Source organism: Homo sapiens, assembly GCF_000001405.40.
Source record: "Homo sapiens chromosome 14 unlocalized genomic scaffold, GRCh38.p14 Primary Assembly HSCHR14_CTG7_UNLOCALIZED".
NCBI lineage: Eukaryota > Metazoa > Chordata > Mammalia > Primates > Hominidae > Homo > Homo sapiens.
This window is the reverse complement of record NT_187380.1, coordinates 112,856-136,833: the sequence shown is the minus strand read 5'-3', so window position 1 is coordinate 136,833 and position 23,978 is coordinate 112,856.

Sequence of the window (23,978 nt, the reverse complement as noted above, 5' to 3'; positions counted from 1 at the left end):
TTTTACCCCCGCCGCCACGGCTTTTTGTGTTTTTTTTTGCCCCCACTCCCGCGGCTTTTTGCCACCGCCGCGGATTTTTACCCCCGCCGCGGAGGATTTTTCCCCCGGTGCTGCGGCTCTGAGGGCAGGAGCGGCAGACTCGGCTGCTAGCTCCACTGGCGTCCTGGCAAGGGCAGCGCCGAGGGGCGCTCCTGGTACAGCTCTCCTGGGTCGGGGGTTCTTTGCCTAGGCGCCGGCGCCCCGGGCTCCCTGCCTCGGCCTCTGTGGCCTGCATAGAGCGGCGCTGCGCGCAGAGGCGATGGGAGAGAAGAAGGAGGGTGGTGGCGGGGGTGATGCGGCATTAGCGGAAGGTGGCGCAGGGGCCGCGGGCAGCTCCAGAAGCTCATTGGCATCTTCATTGGCAGCCTTTGCTGGCTGGGCACCAAGTGCGCTGTGTCGAACGACCTCACCCAGCAGAAGATACCGACCCTGGAGGTAACGGGTTCGGGGACCCGGGCTGGGCTCCAGGAGGAGCTCAGACACCTCCCTCGGGGCCCCAGTTCACGCCTGGCCCAGTTGCATCCTTGAGCCTGCATTGCGCCCTTGGAGTCTTCCCGTCCCTCATGCATTCGCTGATGCGGCAGCAGGAGGACCCGGGACCAGCCCTCACCTTGAGCGCCATTTGTGGGGCGGGTGCCTGGTGGGAACTGGGATGGAGGGTCCAGGGTCCTGTCGGGGGGGGTGGTGGGTTGTGCGCGGACATCCCCTTCCACCCTGAATTTCCATCTGGTCCAGCCCTCTCATCTTGTAGGTGAGGAAACCGAAGGCCTGAGGAAGAACTGACTTGCCAGGAACCCCTGTTAAGGAGAATTATCAAAGTGTGGTTATTAAAGGAGAACTCAGATGGGAGTCAGACCTGGAGGCCCACACTCTTGGTTAAGACATTATACCACCTTGAGTTTGGCCTGTTTACTGAGGGTGAGCCACTCCATCCTTGTCTGATTGTGGGGTCTTGACCTCAAGGGGTTTCCTGCAGGAAGAAGCAAATGGGTTTGCTTTCCTATCTCTGTCCAGTATCTTAGGGACCCTGAGGACTGAAGAGATTCTTGTAGAGCCATCTGGTGTATGTCATGGGTGGGCCTTTTTTGAAGGTCAGTCTGCCCAGTGAGCTGGCTCAGCCCGAATGAACTGTCTTGAATCTTTGGAGTTGTCTGTGTACTTTTAAGGGTTTCTCATCCTTGCACCAAAAGATCCCCTGGAAATTAGGTGGAAAAACCTTAACTTTTGTGGGGCCTTTTGTTTGTCTTAAAAGTTCATGCACATGGCCAGGTGTGGTGGCTCCCACCTGTTATCCTGTCCTGGATCCCTTGAGTCAAGGAGTTTGAGACCAACCTGGACAATATAGAGAGACCCTGTCTCTACAAAAAATAAAATGTTAGCCAGGGGTGGTTGTGCACATCTGTAGTCCCAGCTACTACTGTGGCTGAGGTGGGAGGAGCACTTGATCCTGCACTGAGCTGTGAGCTCACCAGTGTACTCCAGCCTGGGCCACAGAGCAAGACCGTGACTCAAAAAAAAAAAAAAGACAGGAAAAATTCTTGAAGATTTTGCATTCTGTCCCACTATCTATTGGTTTTCATGTCAAGATAATGTCAGAAATTCTTTACAGTTGCTTCCAGAAGGAGTAGCCTTTTGATCTAGTGCACAGGTGTCCAGTATTTTGGCTTCTTAGGGCCACATTGGAAGAAGAATGCTCCTGGGCCACACATAAAATACACTAATGCTAACAACAGCTGATGAGCTTAAAAAAAAACAAAAGGTTTTTGCATAATTTTCATGATACCCACCACCACAGATAGGCGGAAAAGTCCTTGTAGTCAAAGGGTTGGACACGGCTGATCTAGTGTCTTGTCCGTTTTGACTTTCTCCCTGATTCCAGAATGCAGGTAGAGATGTAGAGACATGCTCTCAGGACAGCTGAGATAAAAAAAAATCGTTGTCATTTATTCCCAAGCACAGCTGTTTCTCATTGCATTGAAAAAGTCTCCGTTCAAACTGCTGTCACATATAAAATCTATTTATGTAAGTCTGTATTTTTCTGTTGTCTTGGCCTTTGTAGGCAGTAGTGTGTTTTAACGGAGCAAACTGTCCTTCCAAATAATGAAGCCAAAGTCAGCCTATTTGCTTGCCATTTTTCTTCCCCTTCCATTTTTGTAACCTCAGAATAATTGTAAGAATGAATTAAGATTTGTGTTTAAGGCCAGGCACAGTGTATCAGGCGTGTAATCTCAGCACTTTGGGAGGTGGAGACGGATGTATCGCTTGAGCTCAGGAGTTGAAGACCAGCCTGGGCAACATACTGAGACTCGTCTTGTATAATTTAATTAAAATTTAAAAAAAGAAGAGAGAAAGACCTGTGTTTAAAATTTAAAAAAAGGGGGAAAAGTGTAATGCAAAATGTGGACTATGCCAGCTATGATTGGGAAAACTAGTTTTTCATACCGCATTATCTGTAGACTTGTATTAGCAGCACACTGGTCATAAGCGTTTTGCTTTCCTCAAATATGATGAGGTGAGCTAATTCAAAGTGTGTTGGGGCTTTCTGCCGCGTGGCTCCTGGAGGTGTTGAGTCCCAATTTAGCCAATTAATTTGGATTTAGTTTTGATATGGATAAGGGAGACCAGCTTCATTCATGGTGTACACACAGTTTTGCCAATAAGGAGAAAAAAAAAGCCACCTGAATGTTCCTACTCAGAGCTCCTACCCCACCCCCACCAAGGCCCGGGCCATTAAAAAGACTCAATGCAGCCTTTCTGTATCTCATACTGTATTCTGCAAGGTACTCCTGTGAAAGAAAGTTGTGCTGCATCAGCCATCTCCCTCCTGAAGATCCCTGCGGATGAGGATTTGTGTTTTGAAGGTTCTGAGAATTCCTGCAACAACAATTCTCAAACTTATTTGTCCAGGGGATCTTTTCTTCCACTGAATGTAGTTGGGGAGACATGGCCTTAAGCCTTGAGCAGAGAAAGAGATAACTGTTGGCTCACTTACAACCAAGTGTTGTGTTTATGTTTTAGGTTTTTATGAAACTGAGGTGCTGTTTGAGGTTCTAAATGAAATTGGGTGGTTGAAGAGAGGCTGGTGTCCCTGTAGACTTAGCCAGCCATGAGTAGTTGCCTTTTGTTGAAGGAGGTGTTTTACAAAGGGAAATAGGGTGTCTCCTGGGCATCGCATTAGCACTTAAATACATGTATCACTGAAATGAAATGAAATGATGAAATGATGAAATGATGACATGAAATGGTGAAATGAAATGAAATAATGAAGTGAAATGATGAAATGAAATGATGAAATGATGAAATGAAATGAAAAGATGAAATGATGAATTGAGGAAATGATATGAAATGATGAAATGAAATGATGAAATGAAATGAAAAGGTGTAATGAAACGAAATGATTAAATGAAATGAGATTAAAAGATGAAATGATGAGATGAAATGAAATCATGAGATGAAATGATGAGATGAAGTGAAATGATGAAATGTAATGAAATGATGAAATGGAATGATGAAATGATGAAATGGTGAAATGAAATGAGGAAATGAAATGATGAAATGATGAAGTGAAATGAAATGAGAAGATCAAATGGTGAAATGAAGAAATGATATGAAATGATGAAATGATGAAATGAAGTTAAATGATTAAATGATGAAATAATGAAATGAAATGATGAAATGAATTGATGAAATGAAATGATCAAATGAAATGACGAGATGAAAAGATGAAATGAAATGATGAAATTAAATGATGAGATGAAAAGATGAAATGAGATGAGATGAAATCATGAGATGAAATGATGAGATGAAGTGAAATGATGAAATAATGAAATGACGAAATGCAACAATGAGAAGAAATGCTGAAATGAAATAATGAAACGAAACGATGAAATGATGAGATGGAATGATGAAAGGATGAAATGAAATGATGAAATGAGGAAATGAAATGATGAAATGAAATGATGAAGTGAAATGATGGAATGAAAAGATGAAATGATGAAATGATATGAAATGAGATGACATGACGTCAAATGATGAAATGATGAAATAAATGAAATGATGAAATGATGAAATGAAATGAAATCATGAGATGAAATGATGAAATGAGATGAAGTGAAATGACGCAATGAAATGTTGAGATGAAGTGATGAAATGAAATGATGAAATGAAATGAAACAATGAAATGAAGTGAAATGAGATGAGATGAAATGATGAATTGATGAAATGAAATGAGATGAAAAGATGAAATGAAATGATGAGATGAAAAGATGAAATGAAATGATGAGATGAAATAAAATCATGAGATGATGAAATGATGAGATGAAGTGAAAAGATGAAATGAAATGAAATGTTGAGATGAAATGATGAAATGAAAGAATGAGATGAAATGATAAAATGAGATGAAATGACGAGATGAAATGATGAAATGAAAGGATGAAATGAAATGAAATGAAATGAGATGAAATGAGGAAATGAAATGATGAAATGAAATAATGAAATGAAATGATGAAATAGATGAAAAATACTTATTCATTTTTTTTCTTGGCATCCTTCTAAGAGTATTTTAGTGTGGTTAATTTCTAAAAATAAATTACTATTCAATGGCTATACAGTTGGCCTTTGCTCCACAGGGGTTTGAACTGTGCACGTCCACTTAGAAAAACCAACAATTCTACATCCTTATCCACACCCTGTCCATGGAAAGGATGAGGATGAAGACCTGTTTGATCATCTACTTCCATTTAATAATTAGTAAATATATTTTCCTTATGATTTTCTTTTTTCTTTTCTCTGGCATGTTAAGAATACAGTATATAAGACATATAACATATTAAATATGGGTTAATTGACTGTGTTATTTGTAAGGCTTAGAGTAGTCTATTAGTAGTTAAGTTTTGGGGGAGTCAAAGTTATAGTGGATTTTCTACTGTGCAGGGGGGCCAGCACCCCAACCTCCGTGTTGCTTAAGGGTCAACTGTACATGTTATTTCCTTTCCTGTAAGAGAAAAATGATGAGAAGGTCTTTTCTCCAATAAGTGTATTCAAAATGTAGCAGATTTGAAATGTGTTGGCGCCACCATTTTGCGTCTCACTTTGAAAACTTATTATTTAAAATCGTACTAAAGCCTATCTTACTTTTCCAACATTAGAAAAAATGTTACAAAGAAAAGGGGTGAAACCATGCTAGTTTGCCCTGAAATTTGAACTTATCTTTTAAAAATATATTTTTACATTAATTACTTCCAAAATAGAGATCAGTTCCATACAAATGGCAGGTCACCGTAATCCACCCTATGGCTGCACTTAGATTCATGAGGAATTGTGCCAACTAGAAAGGGCAGAGAAGAGGAATAGGGTGCTCTGCGTCTTGAAATATAAACATGCACATAGCCACATGCTTTGATTCTGTTGTCACTTTGTACTTACAGATAGGAAGAGGGCATGTTTGTGTATTTTTATGCTAATTATTATCCAAATTGTTAATGATTTACGCTTTCAGAACCATATAAAGATTTTTTTCCTTTCAGATATAAACTATCTTGCATTGTTCTTCTAATCATATGAGGAATAAATATGCCTAAATATTCTTCAGACCATAATATTATGTCCATATAAATGCCAGTAGCAAGAGTAGAATCAACCACAACTGCCTTTGTAATTATTTAAAGCACGTGTGCCTATAAGTAACTGGCATTTTATATAATCAAGAATCTTTGATATAATAATCTCTCAACTATTTGAAACATGGCTCACATGTATTAATTTTTTATGCAAATATATATATAATATCAGTGTATATGAAACTAAATTTTCGAGTTTAGAACAGCTTCTTAGAATCCTGACTTAAATGTCTACAGTAATACTTGGCTTAAAAAAATTTAGCACACTGTCACTATGATGAAAAAAATTACTATACAATTATTTAAAAAATTTTTCCACCCTAACATTTAGAAGATTCTCACATTCGTGGTTAAAACCTAATGTGATTGTTCTTAGAATTCAGATAAAAAAATGTTCCAGAAAGTTTGAAGAGAAGCACTTTAGTCAATTTTTAGTTGTTAAAGCATGAAGAAATGGCATTTCATTGACATTTTAAAAATTATTCAGATTCCCTCTTTGAATTCAAGAGTTTCAAAGATATCTTATTTTAAAATACCAAAATAGGAATAGAATATGAAGGGCTGGTTATGAGTAATATGATACATATTTATGAGAGGATGAGATTACAATAACAATACCTCCTCTCATAGAATAGCCAGCAAGTCTCCACTAAATAACAGTGCCTTGATTTTGTAAATGTTTAATCATGGATATTGAGTTAATGTGAACCATTTTTATACACAGGAGTTTATTAAAGAATTATATAATATCTTTCAAGTATTTAGAATAGTGTTGAAATTAAGCCTGCATCCCCACGATTTTCAGCAGTGCTGATGCCTAATAAACAACCCCTTGCATGCCAAAATTGGCTTAAAGGTCATCTGTTACCCAAACTACACTTCAAGCATCAAGGTTCAAAAATGTGATTTTAAATATGCAAGAGTTTGAGGAATTCACTACTCACAAGTTCTTGAACAGTCTATCCAAGTGCATCAAGCACAATGTGAGTAAAGAAATTTTGACCAAAGGATTGATAGTAATGTTGAATACATTTAATAGTAGATCTAAGATTAAAAGGTGAAAGTGAGGATGAGAAGAGTGTATGAATGTTTTGTGTTCTGACAAAGAGAATGTAGCACCCAGGTCCTACCTGCTTGGATGCATTGCCAGTGCCCATGGTAGGCCATTTTTTCCAGGTTTTTAGGTTTTGTTTTGTTTTGTTTTGTTTTGTTTTTTTCTTTTCAGGAGAGTTAGTCCAAGACCAATAACTCCATAACTGGTAGATTTGGAAGACTTTAATACTGCTTAACATTTTGTACATAGCTTTATAACAGTTTTCTTTTTCTTTTTTTCTGAGAGATTCTTTTCAATATACACCATCATGGTTGAACTCAAAAATCATTGCTTATTTAAAATCTACAACTGCTGACGTTTTGTAACATTCGCATTCCAGGTAATTGGTTTTTTGTGCATTTTCTGTATTTTTCTCCATCAGTCTACCTAGATATTTGTTAGATTTAATATTTTAATATTTTTCTGAAAAAGTGAGCTTTTGCATTTTTAAATATATACCCAGTTGCTTTAATTCTGTTTTTTCGTGTACTATTTCCTCGTTTTTTTTTTTTTTGTTTGTTTGTTTTTTGACACGGAGTCTTGCTCTGTCGCCCAAGCTGGAGTGCAGTCGCGTGATCTCTACTCACTGCAATTTCCACCCCCCACGTTCAAGCAATTCTCCCACCTCAGCCTCCCGAGTAGCTGGGATTACAGAGGCATGCCACCATGCCAGGCTAATTTTGGTATATTTAGTAGATAGTGGGTTTCACCATGTTAGACCAGGCTGGTCTCGAACTCCTGACCTCAGGTGATCCACCTGCCTTGGCCTCCCAAAGTGCTGGCATTACAGGAGTGAACCATGGCGCCTGGCTATCTCCTTCATTCTTTATTTTACTGGTTTTCTCTCTCTCTCTCTCTCACTGTTTCTCTCCTTCTCACATTCACTTTGCAGTTGTCAAATAGCCCAGGTGATGTTACAGATTGACTCCTTATAAAAGGAGGCATTACACATTACACATGCATCTTAGTGGCCTTAAAAAAGTGTTTGGTTTATTTGTATGGACTATTCACCTTTAAAATATTTCAATATTCATTAAAATAGCTTCCAACCAATATTATTAGACTTATGTTTCTAGCTTTCGTTTTTGTATTGATATCTGCCTTCATTGCTGTTTGTTTAGGAAGTATATTCTGTGTCACGTTATTTCCGTGAAAATTGTTTGAATTTGTGGTATGGTCTAGAAAATGTTAATTTTTGTAAGTATTCTGTATGAACAAGAAAATAACATGAACTATAATATTCATGTTCCTTATATAATATTTGCCCTTTTTAAAATCCACTAGCTTCTTTTAAAACTTACTCTTTTAATTTTTTCTTTTATCTATTATTGAAAGATGTGTGTTTGAAATGTCTATAATATTTGGGGGCTTATCCATTTCTACTTTCTGATATTTTTGCTTTATATAATTTGACTCTCTCTCTAAATACGTGTATGTCTGTGGTTGTGAGAGAGTGTGTGGTTTGTGTGTATATATATATGTATGTATCAGGCTAACGCACATTTAAGTCATCACATCTTCTTAATAACTTAAAACTTTTATCACACTGGTTAGACTAACTTATTTTAATAAATATTTCTAACTTACATTCTGTTTTGTCTACATAGCAACTTTTTAAAAAATTATATTCATGTAGTATGTTTGTATGTATATCATATATACACAGTATCTGTATTGTTCAAACTTCAAAGTTCCTGTAAATTTATATATTAGTTGCCTCTCTTGTAACTATGATAGAGACAGATGTTTTAAATTTTGCCAATCTTTGTATTTTAACAAAAACATTGTCTACTTAGGTTTAAGTTAATCTTTGATCATTTATACTTAATTTTGTATTATTAATTTGTTGTGTGTATATATATATATATATATACTGTCTCATTTTCTCCTATCAGTTTCTGTATTCTTGTTTTAAAATTATGACTTTTATTTTTATTGTTTTCATAGATACAACAGAGAAATGCATAATGTCCAGTCAATTTATTAAAGTTCCAAAGTCGGTCGCGCGCAGTGGCTCACACCTGTAATCTCAACACTTCAGGAGGCCGAGGCGTGTGGATCACGAGGTCAGGAGTTGGAGACTAGCCTGACCAACATGGTGAAACCCCGTCTATACTAAAAATACAAAAATTAGCCAGGCATGGTGGCACGTGGCTGTAATCCCCGCTACTCAGGAGGCTGAGGCAGGAGAATTGCTTGAACCTGGGAGGCAGAGGTTGCAGTGAGCCGAGATGGCGCCACCGCACTCCAGCCTGGGAGAAAGAGTGAGTGAGACTCCTTCTCAAAAAAAAAAAAAAAAATTGCAAAGTCATACCTTTCTGCTCTTGTCAGACAATTAAGGGGTCTTTGAATACTTCAGCCCTAATAATTTGCTTCCTAACATACATATTGCAGTGCTTATCTAATTTTAAATATCTTTTTGTTTCAACACCTAATTTTTTATTTAGATCTATCTGTATGTTTACAATATATTTTTCTCTGTGTTCATTCTTTGATTTCAGAACTTCAATCTTTCTGAAGCATGTTTTCAGAGTTTCTTTTTAGTTTCTTTAGTGGAATTCTGCTGGTGGTGTTTTGTTTTTTGTCTCTAAATATGTTATTTAGCCATAGGTTGATGAATATTTTTCTTGGTTGAGAATTTCAGAGTGGCATTATTATTCTTAACAAATAATATTGTTTATTTTACCTTTCATGCTTTCAGATTTCAATATGATTAAAGGTAATTTGATTTTTCTAGTGCTAATTGAAATATTTTTCCCTTCCTGATTGTTTACTATTTCTCTAGGAGATATGTAGAGGTAGGTTTATCTCCACTGTAGCTTGCTTAGCATGCATAGAATTTTTGAATATGTGGATTAGTGTCTTACAAGAGTCTAGAGAACTTTCAGCCAAAATACCATCACATATTGTCCCTTCCCAGTTCCCTTCTTCTAAGAGAACACTCACTAAACACATGCTACACTTTCTCACTGTATCTTCCATGTCTCTTCATGATTCTGTCCACATTGTGCATTTTTTAAAATTTTCTGTAATGCATTCTGAAATATTTATGAACTCTCACCATGGCCATGTCTAATCTGATGAGTTCATTTTTGAGTTTTTAATTTAAAATACTATATACAAACTACTTTTCAAATTTGCTACATCAATTTTTTAGTCTCCTAAAAATATATTCATTTTTTAAAAAATTTCTTGAAATTAAATGAGCTTTATAATCTAACAGTGATATTTCTACTAATGAACCTTTGTGGATCGGTTTGTACTCTTTTTCTGCTTTCCTTTCAAATGGTAGAATATCATTTCCTTGCATACTTAGATGCCTTTGAATGACAAAGATTTATTTTTCTCTGAAAATTATTATTGTGCACTTTTGCATATTAGTAAGAAGAAAATTTGCCAAAGAGAATTTGAATTTGTTGTGAGTCTTCTAAAGGCACCACCATTCTGGGACCACATTATATTAATTCTTGGCCTAAAGGTGTTTGGACATATGTTTGGACTGCACATTTAAACAATTTTTAAATTAATTGCTGTAAATCATTAATGATTGAGTTTCTTTAAATCTGTCCAATCTCAAGTCATTTTTATTTGCCATTTCCAGGGAATGTGAAATGGGACTAATTTACCTCTGATTCTTCTTTATACTGAGGATATAAATTTTGGTCCTAGCTTTAGGGAAGAGCTTCTGTGTGATGCCCTATCTTGGGAAAAACTATGTATTTCTTTACTATCCTATGTGATGTATGACAGTAGGAATCTGCACTCATTCATTTTGCTACATGTCTGTAGGGCAAAATCAGTTTCCGTGTTTAGGTGTATTTTGTCTGCTCCCTGCATTCCCATGGTTTTGACCTTATATTTTACTTTTTTTGTGAACATACCAGTGCTTCAAATTTTTTGCAGTAATATTTTCAACTATATTATGAGAAAGAGAAAAATTTTGATAAAACACAAATTTCATGTTTTCCTTCTCTAATTGGCTTTTACTTAAAAATACAGGTAAAATTTATTTGTGCTTTTTTGCTATTTCTGTTTTGCTATTCTCTGTTTGTCTATGTCTTCTCCACATAGACACAATTAGGGAATTTTGTACACTCTTGTGCCAACTGCTTTGATAGTAACAAAATGTATTTCTCGAACTCCTAGGTATAAAACTCAAGTATCCACAATTTAAATTCTTTTTTGCTCACTTCTGTTACATTTCCAGTCTCAATAGAAATCGATGCCAATCCAGAAATACAAGCATTATTCTAATACTTCTCACACATTACTGATATAGATTAAATTTTCTAGATCTCCTTAAATACTATCATTTTTCACTACTTGTATCTTAACTGTTAAGTTCAACATTTTCTATAATATTAATATGTTGTGAAAATGTCCTTACTTTCTTATTTTTCCCAGGTTCAATGTTTTACAGTCTCTACCTCACCCTGTGAAGCATAAACATTGTACATGCTGTACAAATAATACATCGTTCATGTACTTAGAGATTGCACGATTTTTATTTGGTTGACAATAGCTAATGTTTTCTTCTTCATTTTCTATTTCCTGATTTTTCTTTATTTAGTATATACTACATTATCATAAAAATAAGAACGTTTTACAAACTAAAGCAAAAGCAACCCTAGGAATAAAATGCACAAATAAAATATATAAACATACATTTAGATGTACGACGTACCCTTGTAATTTATTTAGACAATTAATTCTAGTACAATTTTAATTAGTCTGTGTATTATCTGTCATCATCTTAGTATTTTTTATATAACAAGTTTTGTAAATCAAAAAGTCTCAATGTCATTATAAAGTATCTTGGCAGAGGTTGATCTCCAAGGAATAATTTCTCTCCCAAATTATGCCAATCAGAATTTCACTCTACCATAATTCTTTTAATCAGTTTCAGAGGAATAATAAATTTCAAAATTGTTCAAGGTACTTCTTTTAGTTCAAGTACCTTTTGACAGGTGTAAAACTGTAGACAGACTGATACAAACATATTCTAATTGACTCAAAATTATATGGGACCTATTTTAAAATCTAGATTTTAAAATGTCGTGTCAACATACACATGGTTTCCTTGTGAAATAATTGCTTTTTATTCTCTGGATAGAATAATTTAATCTTTAAACATTCAATTCTCTGTTAGAAACAAAATATTACATAAGGATATCCTTATAAAAATAATTCCCAACTAGCTTTTCAGTTCAGAAATATATGTGAAAAAATCATCAATCATCTAATGGATTTCAAGGAGAAATGGGTTAGTAATTTATTCCATATGTCTCAATTTTTCCTAGACTCAAGGCTTCCTTTAAAATAATTGTAGGCATTTAAGAAACCATGTAAACTAAAAAGAAGAAATTGTGACACTGCCACTTAGGTTTTTTAAATCTTTGGACATGATTCAATATATTTTTTAAATTGTATCTTAATTAGACATTGTGAGTTCACCATCTTCCTGTCAGTATTGCATCCAAGCTGATTAACATAGATTAGAAGTTCAACTATCAACTCTGTTCTGAGAGTCTAAAAAAATAAATGAACGTATTTGTTTGGGTATTCTTAAAGCAGGAGTGAGGACACAGTGAAAGTGAGACAAGGAAAAGAGAACAAAATAAAACAGGAAAGAGAGACAAGCCAATACCACACGTGTTAAGAGGTAAGTTCCTGTGTTAGATATCTGGGCTTAATTTTATGGGAAGCTACGTGGAACATGCCTCAGAATTACATCACTGAATCCAGGGAGATTCTTCTTAGTTACCCTCACCTTTTCTTCCCACTTCATGCCCAATCACAAGCTCCCGTGCTGCTAGAGAAAGTCCTCAGCTAGAAACAGGTGCAAATTCTGGAGATGAGACCTTGTAGAGTGTTAAGAATGGTTTTCTTCCCAGCAGCTACAGGTAAGGAATAGGGGCTGGGCTATTAATACATCTGCTACAAACCAATAAAGCCCTTATGCTCCTTTTGGTGATCGACAATGTATTTAAAAATATTAGATGATCAAGAAGGGCTGCAGAAAGGAGGAAACAGAAACAAACAGCACACCTCTTGGTTTATTTTTATTCATTTCATCAGTTTCAAGGAAAATATGTTGGGAGTTCCTGGCATAGACAATGTCACAAAGACATGTTTTCAATAGTAGTGCTATCCCTAGGGCAGAGAAGACCCAGAGAAAGCCCAAGTGGCTGATGGAACAAAGTCAGACACCGTGCCACCTGTCCACACTCCTTGGCTCTGCCATCATGCTGAAGATCGCTTTAAAGGACTGGCTTCCCTCCCCCCAAAATTAAAAGAGCACAGACTGAGAAACTGAATGTAGGAGACAGCAGTGGATTATGCTGTTCTCAGGGGTCACCTCAGGTTTGGAAGCATTCTTTCAAATTAACCCATCTCAGGCCATCTGCAGAGAAGAAAGGTGGTACCTAACTTTTTTTCTTGTCAGCATTTGGTAGGGGTGTTTTATTGACCAAATATGTTCCCACAACCTGGTTTTTTGTGACTAACTAAATATAGTAGATTTTTAAATTTTATCATCAAAATCTATAGACAATTTTTGTTTAAAATAGACTCCATATCTATGTCCTGCTTTTCTTCTTATTATTAATTACATTGCTGTATCAAAGAACAAGACTTCAGAATCAAGAATATCTTGTCTCTTCGCATTGAATTTATATACAAGGTGCTCTTTCTTTAATGCTGTCTCAAAGGAAATCTTGTAGGTAAAGGTAAATATTAGGATGCATCCAATTACATTTACACACACAGTTACATTTACACACACATACATGCATACAGACTGATACACGTGTGTATATATATATATGAATTTACTAATTGATTTTAACTAATATTTATAAGAGCCAGTTGGATTGATATATATTGTTGAACCTGAAAAATATTTATTATATACATGTTTAAAATACACACAGAAATAAATAGTAATTGCACCAGGCATTTGAAACTGTACTAAAATATAAGCTGTGAACATTTTGTGATCATTACAAATTCTTACACTGAATAAATATTTTTATTTTTACAATATTAATATGTTTGATATCTGTGTACATTTTTTACAATGTGTTATTTTATTTTTGTCAGAGTCTTGTCATGCATAATAACATTTCAGTCAAAGATGGATTACAAATACAAAAGTGGTCCATGAGATTATAATACATATTTTTACATACTTTTCTATGTTTAAGTATGTTTAGATACATAACCTCTTACCATTGTGTTCTTATTGCCTGCAGTATTCAGTACAGTAATGTAGTACACAGGTTTGTAGCCTGGGAGAGAGAGGCTATACCATATAACCTAGACGTGGTAGGCTGTACAATCTAGGTGTTTGTAATATTCCCTGTGATGTTTGCAAAATGATGAAATTGCCTATGGATGCATCTGTTAGAACGTATCCCTATCATTCAGTGATGTGTGGCTGTACTAAAATGCTCAATGTAAGTTTCAATGTCCTCCATAAAACTGTTGTACTGTGAAATACAAATCTCTCACCCATGGCCTGAATATGTTTGCAAACTAAGCAGATCATGGGAAGGAGAATGTGCTGGCATCGCTGGGATGATTTTCTCACACTACATGAATAATATCTACAGACTTAGTGCATATGAGCCACTTGCATAGAGTTAAAGTAGGCATCTCTTTGCTGGGAAATTTATCAAATGGGAGTATGAAATGTTTTTAAAAGATACTTGTTTGTTTGTAGCTGGTAGGCATACAGTGGCTCATGGCAATGGTTAAGGTTGCTAAGATTTGGTGGAAGAAGGCAAAATGAAATGGCCACTTATATGGTATATGGTATATGGATCACTTGTTTCTGTTGAGTTACAGACTCAGCTGGCTGTTTCTCCCAATTTTAATTATTTGGAGAAAAAAAACGTGATGGTAATTTTGGAGTAACAAATACAATATTTGATGAAAGCAAATTTATTGAGGGTTAGACAAACTACAAGATACTTTAAGCTGCAAAGTCAACACGAGACTTCTGGCCCAAATTGTGCAGAGTTTGCGTCCAGCTGCAAAGTTCAAAGGAAGAGGCCATATAAGACGATTCTCACTTCTGACACCAACTGCCAGTTCAGGGGTTTCCCCTGAACACCCTCAGTTTCAAGAATTTACTAAAAAGACTCACAGAACTCATTGAATGCCATTGTACTTACGGTTTATAATAGAGAAAGGGTAGAAATTAGGACCAATTGGAGAGACATATCATATAAGGTGGAATCTAGGAGATTTTGAATGTTAAGTTTCCATTGTCTTCAGGACATACTACCTGTCATTGTTGTGCAGCAATAAACATGGAGTACTACCGACCTGGGGAGCTCATCTGATGCTAAAAAGACACTATTTAGAGAATGAAAAGACAAATGAAAGGATGGGATAAGATGACCTTCCACATTAAGGCGCTGGAAAGAATAAAAAACTAAACCTAAAGCAAGCAGAAGGAAGAAAATAAAAATTAGAGAAATTAATAATTTATAATAATATTTGTTAGTGTTGAATAATTGATATTAATTCTTGACTAGCTTTTTTAAAAAGAAATATTCACTTCCCAATTTACTCTTTGGGGCCAGTGTTACCTTGATACAAAAATTAGTCCAAATATCATAGAAAAATAAAACTACTATAAGTATAAACGCAAAATTCCTTAAAAAATACTAACAAATCAGAACTAGCAACATATAAAAGAATTATACACTATGACAAAGTGAAATTTATACAAGTATTCCCAGGTTGGTTTAACAGCCCAAAATCCATTAAGGTAATACATCTTATCCATAGAATAAGAAACGAGAATTGCATGATCATCTCGATAGATTCGGAAAACACATTTAACAAAATCCAAATGCTTTAATGATTAAAAATAAAAATAAAAACTCAATGAACCAGGAATAGAGAACTTTCTACACCAGATACATGGCACCTGTGAAAAGCCAACAGCAAGCATGCAACTTAATGGTAAAGGATGCTTTCCCGCTATGGTCAGAGATAAGAATAGGATATATAATTTGAACTCTTCTAGTCAATACTGTACTAAAGATTTTATGCAGGGCAAATCGGCAACTAAAAAAATAAGAATCACCCATATTGAACAGGAAGAAATAAAACTTTATTTGAAAATAACATTCTTGTATATAGAAAATGTTAAGGAATCCACTGAACGATAGAACTAGTAAATTATTTCAGCAATATTACAGCATACAAGATAAATGTACAAAAATCAATTGCACACATCTACAATGAAAACCCCAAAATGAAATTAAGAAAACACTTCAATTTAAAATAGCATCATAAAAAGAAATAATAATTAATTTGGAAAATGTGATACAGGATTTTACTCTGAAAATTAAAAATTATTGTTTAAAGAATAAGTAATTAGCAAACATCTTACAGCCATGAATTGGAAGATTTAATACTGTATTACTTTACAATTTGAACTACTGATTTGATGAAATCCCTGCAAGTATTCCAACAGACTTCTGTCTAGAAACTGACAAGCTGATTCTAAAATACACATGGAATTGTAAGGGACTCAAAATAGCCAAAATAATCTTGAAAAAAGAAAACATATTAGGATAATTCACACCCCCATGCTCCAAACCTTACTGCAAAGTATCAGTAATCAAGACAACAAAATACTGATGAAGGAAAAATATATAGATTGATGGAAGAGAATTGAGAGTCCATATATAAAACTATGTGTCTATGGTCAATGGATTCTTACAGTGGTGCCATGTGCAATTCAATGAGGAAGAGACAGTCTTTGAACAAACTGGTTCAACAACTTACACGTGGATCACCACTTGCAAAATAATAAATTGGAACCCTTACCCCAAAGCATACAAAAATATTAACTCAAATGAATTAAAGACACACATGCAAGAGCTAGAATAAAACATATGGGAAAATCTTCACGATTTTGGATCTAGCAAAGAAATAGCTGTAACATCAAAAACATGAGCAACAAAATAAAAATTAGATATTTAAAATTTGTTAAAAATTAAAGACATTGGTGTTTCAAAGGACAACCAAGCAAGTCAAAAGGCAGCTCAAAAATTGTGAGAAGATATTTGAAAAACACGTATCTATATGTCTGTATATATATGTATCTTGAATATAGAAAAATTGTTTTAACTCAGTAACAAATATCCCAACTCAAAACTGATAAATGATAGGAATAGATGTGTTTCCCAAGAAGATACACGAACGGCCAATAATCCCATAAAAAGATACTCAATAGCATCACTCATCAGGCAACTACAAATCAAAACCACAGTTAGATACTCTATGGCTAGAACTGGCCACTTTGTAAAATAATTTGATGGCTTCTAAATATATTAAACATTGAATTGTCATATGACCCAGAAATTTATTCCTAGGTATACACCCAGATTATTGGAAAGAGGTGTTCAAACACAAATTGTACACAAGTATTTTTAGCAGCAGTATTTAAAATAGCCAAAGGCTGAACACAACTCAAATGTCAATAAAAATATTATTGGATAAATAAAATGTTATATCCATGAAATTGAATGTTATACGGTTATAAAAAGAAATAAAGTACCAATACGTACATGAACCTTGATAGCATTATGCCAACTGAAAGAAGCCAGGCAGAAAAGGCCACCTATTGTATGATTCTATTTAGATGAAAACAGAATAGTAAAGTCTATAGAGAAAGAAAACAGATTTGTGGTTGCTTAGGATTGAGTAGGGGATGAGTGTATAGGATGTTAACAGCTAGAGAAGGTGGGGTTTCTTTTTGAAGTGATGAAAATGCTCTAAAATTCATTGTGATGATGGCTCCACTTATCTGTGCATATACTAAAAGTCACTGACTTGTAGACATTAATGTGTGCACTCTACACTATGTAAATTTTATCTCAATAAATCCTTTAAAAAATACACAGAAGAGTAAGGGGTTTTGGAAAGTTGCAGCTGGGAGGCAGTTTGAAATACTGAATAGGCCTCATCGAGAATGTGAAGTTTCAGTAAAGACTTGAGGAAGTTGAATGAGCTGATCAATGGATATATGGAGGGCTATCTTTCCAAGCCAAGAAATTAACTAGAGTCTTGGTCATAAGGCAGCAGCGTGTTGGCATGTCCAGAGGACAGTGAGGTGGCCAGGACCACTGGTAAGATCAAGGGTGAAGATATAAAAGAATTTTGGCGGTTAACATGAGGCAGATCATGATGGGGTTGCAGACCATTGTAAGAATTGTTTTTAGTGTACATGAAGTGGGGAAACAAATCATTATCCCATTATCAATATTTTAATAAATTGGATCCATGAACCAAATGCAATGAGATTAAATCAATTAATAATAATATGCAAATTTGTATTAAAATTACAAGAATTATTTGCACATTTGAGAACAGGAGAGTCATGATTGTTTATCAGCAATAATAAACATTATTAATTTTAATTGTGATCAGCTAATTGAGATTAATTGCAATACATCATGCTTTATAATGTGACTGTCAAAAGGAAAGTATGATTGTAATCTTATACTACATCTATCAATGCCTTTGATTCATAAGACTATAGAGTAAGCCCCTAGTTTTCAAAGCCAACTTATGAGGCAGTGACATCTTATGCAAATTTGCTGCTTTCTGCCACAGTGATCCTTGGTCAGCTGGCACAAATTGTTTTACAAACGCCCCTAGGTCTAAAAATAGTTTGGATCACAATGAACACAGAAACACCTTCATCCCTTCAGAAATACCTATCAATTACTTCCAATACAGAATGAAAAATTGACAAAGGAAATATGTGGATTGTAAAAATGCCAGTTAGCTTGCATCTACATCAAAGAAAAATGCCATTTTTATTATATTAGATCATTGTTTTATATGAGTTTTGGTATAGCACAATGTTGAACCAAGGGCAAAGAGAGATGAATTAATGATATCTTGATTAAGATATCAAGAATTTGAAAGAAAAGGCAGGTCATCTTTGAAGGTTAGTGACATAGCATTCATCTTCTGTTGTCACCTTTTCCATCATGCCCTGTATGCCTGATGGACAGGTTTCACTCAAGTTCAGAGAACAGCATGCAAAATTAGCTACCAATTAATCTTTATGAAGTGAGCTGCATTTCCTGCCAGACTGAGCTTATGTTTTAGCAGGAAGCATTTTTGGGAAATGTTTATGTTAGAGTTTGCCCTTCTTGACAAGGTGAGACATAAATGTCTACTTTATAGACATGAATTAAGATGGGAAGATATTTGGGGGAATCATTTACTCAAACGCTAAATAATAAAGGTACACAAAGGGCAAATTATACTAGATTTCTTTCCCACTTGTTTTGTATGTCTCATGCAATTCACCTTGATTCCCTTCAGTTTCTGTTTAATGTAGAAAGTGGCATTTTCCTTATTTTAAGCTTCTAGCACAATGAAAGAATTTCTCTTTTTCATGAACAGGATCATAAATGAAAGGGAGGAAGAGTGTCCTATATCATATTTATTGTTCAACAAAACACTGCTCCATGGCTTAAATTCAGTTTAAAAAAGAGAATTTATTGGACATCTAACACATACATAAAAGATAGTAAAGACAAATGAGAAGAGCGCAGGATATTGAAGTATACAGATTTCAATGCTGAGTTTTATATCTTAGGAAGTTACTCCACCTTACAGAGGCTCAATTTCCCCTGATTTAGGAAGGCGATGCTAATGGGTATTGCATAGGTGTAAGTATAAAAATGTTGTATTTAAGAGAATCCCACAAGCTTGGTATAAGGCAGAAAATAAATAGATGTGACATGAATAAGTAGTTTATTACATTTGTATTCTACCTGCGGACTAGAGGAAGCAAGAAACACAGCCACTATGCTTGATTAGCATTACAGAGATGGTACAATGATGGTTGCCAGAAGCTGGGGGGAGGAAGAAATGGGGAAGTATTTTTTAATGGGTATAGAGTTTCAGTTTTACAAGATGAAACGAATTATGGAGATGGATGGTAGGGACGGCTGCACAATGTTATGACTCTATTTAGTACCACTGAACTGTACACTTAAAATGGTTAACAGAGTACATTTTATGTTATGTGTATTTTACCACAATAAAAAAATAAAATACCTTAGGAACATTTTCATGAAAAAGCCCACATAAAATTCACTTTAATGCACGTGTTTATGCATAGCTTTGTATTTTTCTCTTTTCTCTTTATCTTCCAAATTCTAATCAGAGAAGGGAATCACCTCTGTATCTCTAGGATATTCAGTAAAGACCACTGGAGTTTCATGCCCTAGTGACAGTGCTCATATAGCTCCAAATTACAGATGGCTCTAGACTAACTCCACAAAGTTTAAAGAGAAGATTTAAAACAACAACAGACAAATACTCATCCTGAAGTTACTGAACTGCCTGCCACAACATTGTTCAAAGGTAGCCAATAAAATCTAGATAGTCAATAGCATAACATCAAAAAACCCCCCCCAAAAAAAACTCTGACATGCAAAGAAGCCGTAAGATATATATACTTAAGACATATATTAACAGGATAAAAATAAGTCATTTATAAATGACAGAAAAGAAGGAAATTTCAAGGTCCTTAAAGTAAACATATTTTATAAATACATATAGGTAAATACATATATATGTCAAGGCACTTAAATGAAAATTGAACATAGAAAAATAGAAGTTATAAAATGAAAAATGTGACATGTATAGATGAAAAATAAATATTAGAAATAAAAATTCCATGAGATAGAATAAGTAATGGATTTTACCCAAACATCAGAAAATTTATAGAAAAAAATAGAAGCTTTACAAACTAAAGGACAAAGGGTAAACTAAAATAAGAAAGCCAGAAACTCACTGATAAGTCAGACAATATGCAGCAGTGTAACATACATGTAATTAACATCTCAAAAAGGATGGGTGGGGGAATTATAGGTGAATAAAGAATGGTACACTCATTCCTGAGGGCACCGAGGAGGGAGGATAGCTTTAGATTTCTAAGGGAGGGTATTATCCATTCATGAAGGTCCAACCCCATGACCAAACACCTTCCAGTAAGCCCCACCTGCAACATTGGGGATCAAATTTTAACATGAGATTGGAAGGGGCAAGCATTCAAACCATAGCAAGAGTTAAATTTCCTTTTTAAAAAAATCACTGATATGATTCCATTTCGCCATAGATAAAAGCTAGTATTTCAGCCTACCATTGAGTGTGCTTATAGCTCACCAAAAGGGCACTCTGTCTCGGGAATACAGATTTGCCTAGAGGTATCCTATTGCAGTCAAAGAAAGAGCAATGAGGGATAGAAAAGGTTAGTGATGGAGACACCAGCGCTGCATTTTGCAACAAACAATGTAAAAGCTTTACGGATTGGTTCTGCTAACTTACTACAGTTTGCATTCCTCTCAGGTGGGAGAATTGTTGCGTTTTTTCTTAAGATAGAAAAGCAATTCAGATAATCTGAAATCTCCACAAGAAGGATAAGAAGCACAGCAGAAACTATTCTAGGTAGGAAGTCAATCCTTTCAACTGTCTGTGCTGCATAGAAACAATTGTCTGCACTGGAAGTCATGTGAGATACAGACAACAGCCAGAACTCTGATCCTCTCATTAGTGATTTCAGAAGAAATTACCAGTCAACTGAGTAATTCACTGAGTAAACATTTGGCACTGAAAGAGGTTAGACGGATAACCATTTGTATCACCATATTCATGAAGCTGGAATATTTTCCATTACTGGTATCACATCCGAATGGAAGATGTTAAAAGGTCTCTCATCTTGTAAGATGGATATGAAAGAACATTTTCTGGGAAATGAAATTATTAACACACCTGCGAGGTGGATGGAAGAGAAAAAAAAGCATAATCAGCTGGAGTTCTTCTCCTTGATAAGACAACTCACTAAAAACATAAAGAGAAAAATACAAGTTTAAAATAATTAACCAGAAGAAGACGACTCAAGAGTTTTTAAATTGCTGATAAGATTTTAATTTGCTCCAAGTTGAAAATAATTATATTGCTTGTGTTTTAAGGCCCATAATGAGCAATTATATCACAAATGGTAGTTTCAGCAGTAAAATATTATCCGTTAACTGCTGGAAATCATAAAAGCATAGCACAATGTGAAGATGGAATTTGCTAAAATAAACCATCTGCTGAAAACCACTATTCTGCAAATTTAAAAATAAAGTTTAAATGTTATTGGTCTTATTTAATAGGTCTGTCAAAAAAATGCGCTATTTGAAAAGTAGCTGCTACCTTAATTAATTCTTCATATTAGACGGCTGGTTACAGTAATGCACAGTAAGGTGCTACATAGATATGTTGCTAAATTTTCTGCATATACTATGTATTTGGCTTAAATTATTTGAAATTTTATAGTTAAAATAACAAATGTATATTTCAATGTTTTGACACAATTTGCAAATATACCTTTAAAAAGCGTCTTACACTCTAAATATTATTTGTCACCTATATATTTGTCTTTTCTCTATAGGAAAGTTTAAATTTTTCCCTTGAAGCTTTAATTATTTGAGTCTATAAAACAAACTGATAATGTACAAATTAACAGAAAAAAGGTTTACAGATATGTGCACAAGTATGCACTTGCAGTTTACATAATATATAAAAATATAACTATACAAATATTTGTATATTATAAATAGATATACAAATATATGCTATATATATAAAAACTCCAGAAAAGGCAAGGTAGTCAACACGCCTATGCTGTCTTGAGGTTACAGAAAACACAGAGCTGTAGGTTGGTAAATCAGGCTTTGCGGAATACAGGTGACGACAAGGAAGAAAGAGGAGCCTGACAGCAGAGGTGGTCTTGTTACATGGATGAAACATCACAGGGAGCAGCCCTCCTCTTGGGAAGTATAGATAGGAATTGGTTTTTAGAAATGTAAACGTGCCAGACTCAGTTAATCTTTCCTAAACCCACACAAGGGAGTATCTCAGGGAAAGCCTGTCTACATCAATACAGTTTTTCTCTACAAATGCAAATCTCCCCAACAAACACAGCTTTTCAGCTATTCTTGTAGAAGAAGCTATCTCTAGTCTTCCGAGTAGCCATCTTGAAATATGTCAAAAAGCTGCCCAGGTGCACGCCTGTAATCCCAGCACTTTGGGAGGCTGAAGTGGGTAGATCACCTGAAGTCAGGAGTTGGAGACCAGCCTGACCAACATGGTGAAACCCCGTCTCTACTAAATACAAAAAATTAGCCGAGTGTGGTGGTGCATGCCTGTAATCTCAGCTACTTGGGAGGCTGAGCTAGGAGAATTACTTGACCCTGGGAGGCTGAGGTTGCAGTGAGCCAAGATTGTGCCATTGCACTCTAGCCTGGGCAACAAAAGCAAAACTCCATCTCAAAAAAAATGTATTTTAGGGTAATATTTTGAGTATCTTTACCTCCGTATGTACAATAAATATTATTGTGATTTTTAATCTTTTCTGTGGAGAAAACACAGATGTGATTTCTAGTGTAGCTGAACATCGTTTATTTGACAATATTGCACTTGTGTGTGGGTGTGTGCTTGTGTAGCTACTCTTTAATTTTGTTCTTACATAATGATTAGATATTAACAATTAATTCAGTAAAATATATGTTTTGCAACATTTCTCCATGTTATTATGCTTTAAATTAGTTTAATCATGCCCTTATAATGTGTACATTTTAACCTTTGACTATAGGTCTCAATCTTACTTTGGTTCCTGTATTTGAATTTATGCTAATAAAGTCCTACAGCTAAAATAGATTATATAAACTTATCTACATTTTTACTAGTATTCTGGTGTCATTTTAAATTATGTAATGAAATCAAATTTTAATTTGGATTATTGTTATCTGAGTTAAGGATCTAAATTTTCAATTTCTTACAAATACTACATAATTATTTCTGAAACATATATTGACTAATCTCCCCTTTATATGATGTGCATTATAAGAGCTTGGGATTGTTTCATTTGCAAAGATGAATGCTTGAGAAGTAGATATTTGATCATAACATTTCAAAATCGACTGGATAACCTAGAATTGAAAAATAGCCTACAGGTTGAAAAACTCCTGTAGTGAAGAAAGAAAATAACTAATATACAGTGACAATATAAATATTATAAGTATTTATTTTATTATCGCCCTGAAATTTGATAATACAAACATGTAATATCTACATATCATCCATATATCAGGTCAGAAAAAATCAATACATTCTTCAAAAATTTAGCATAA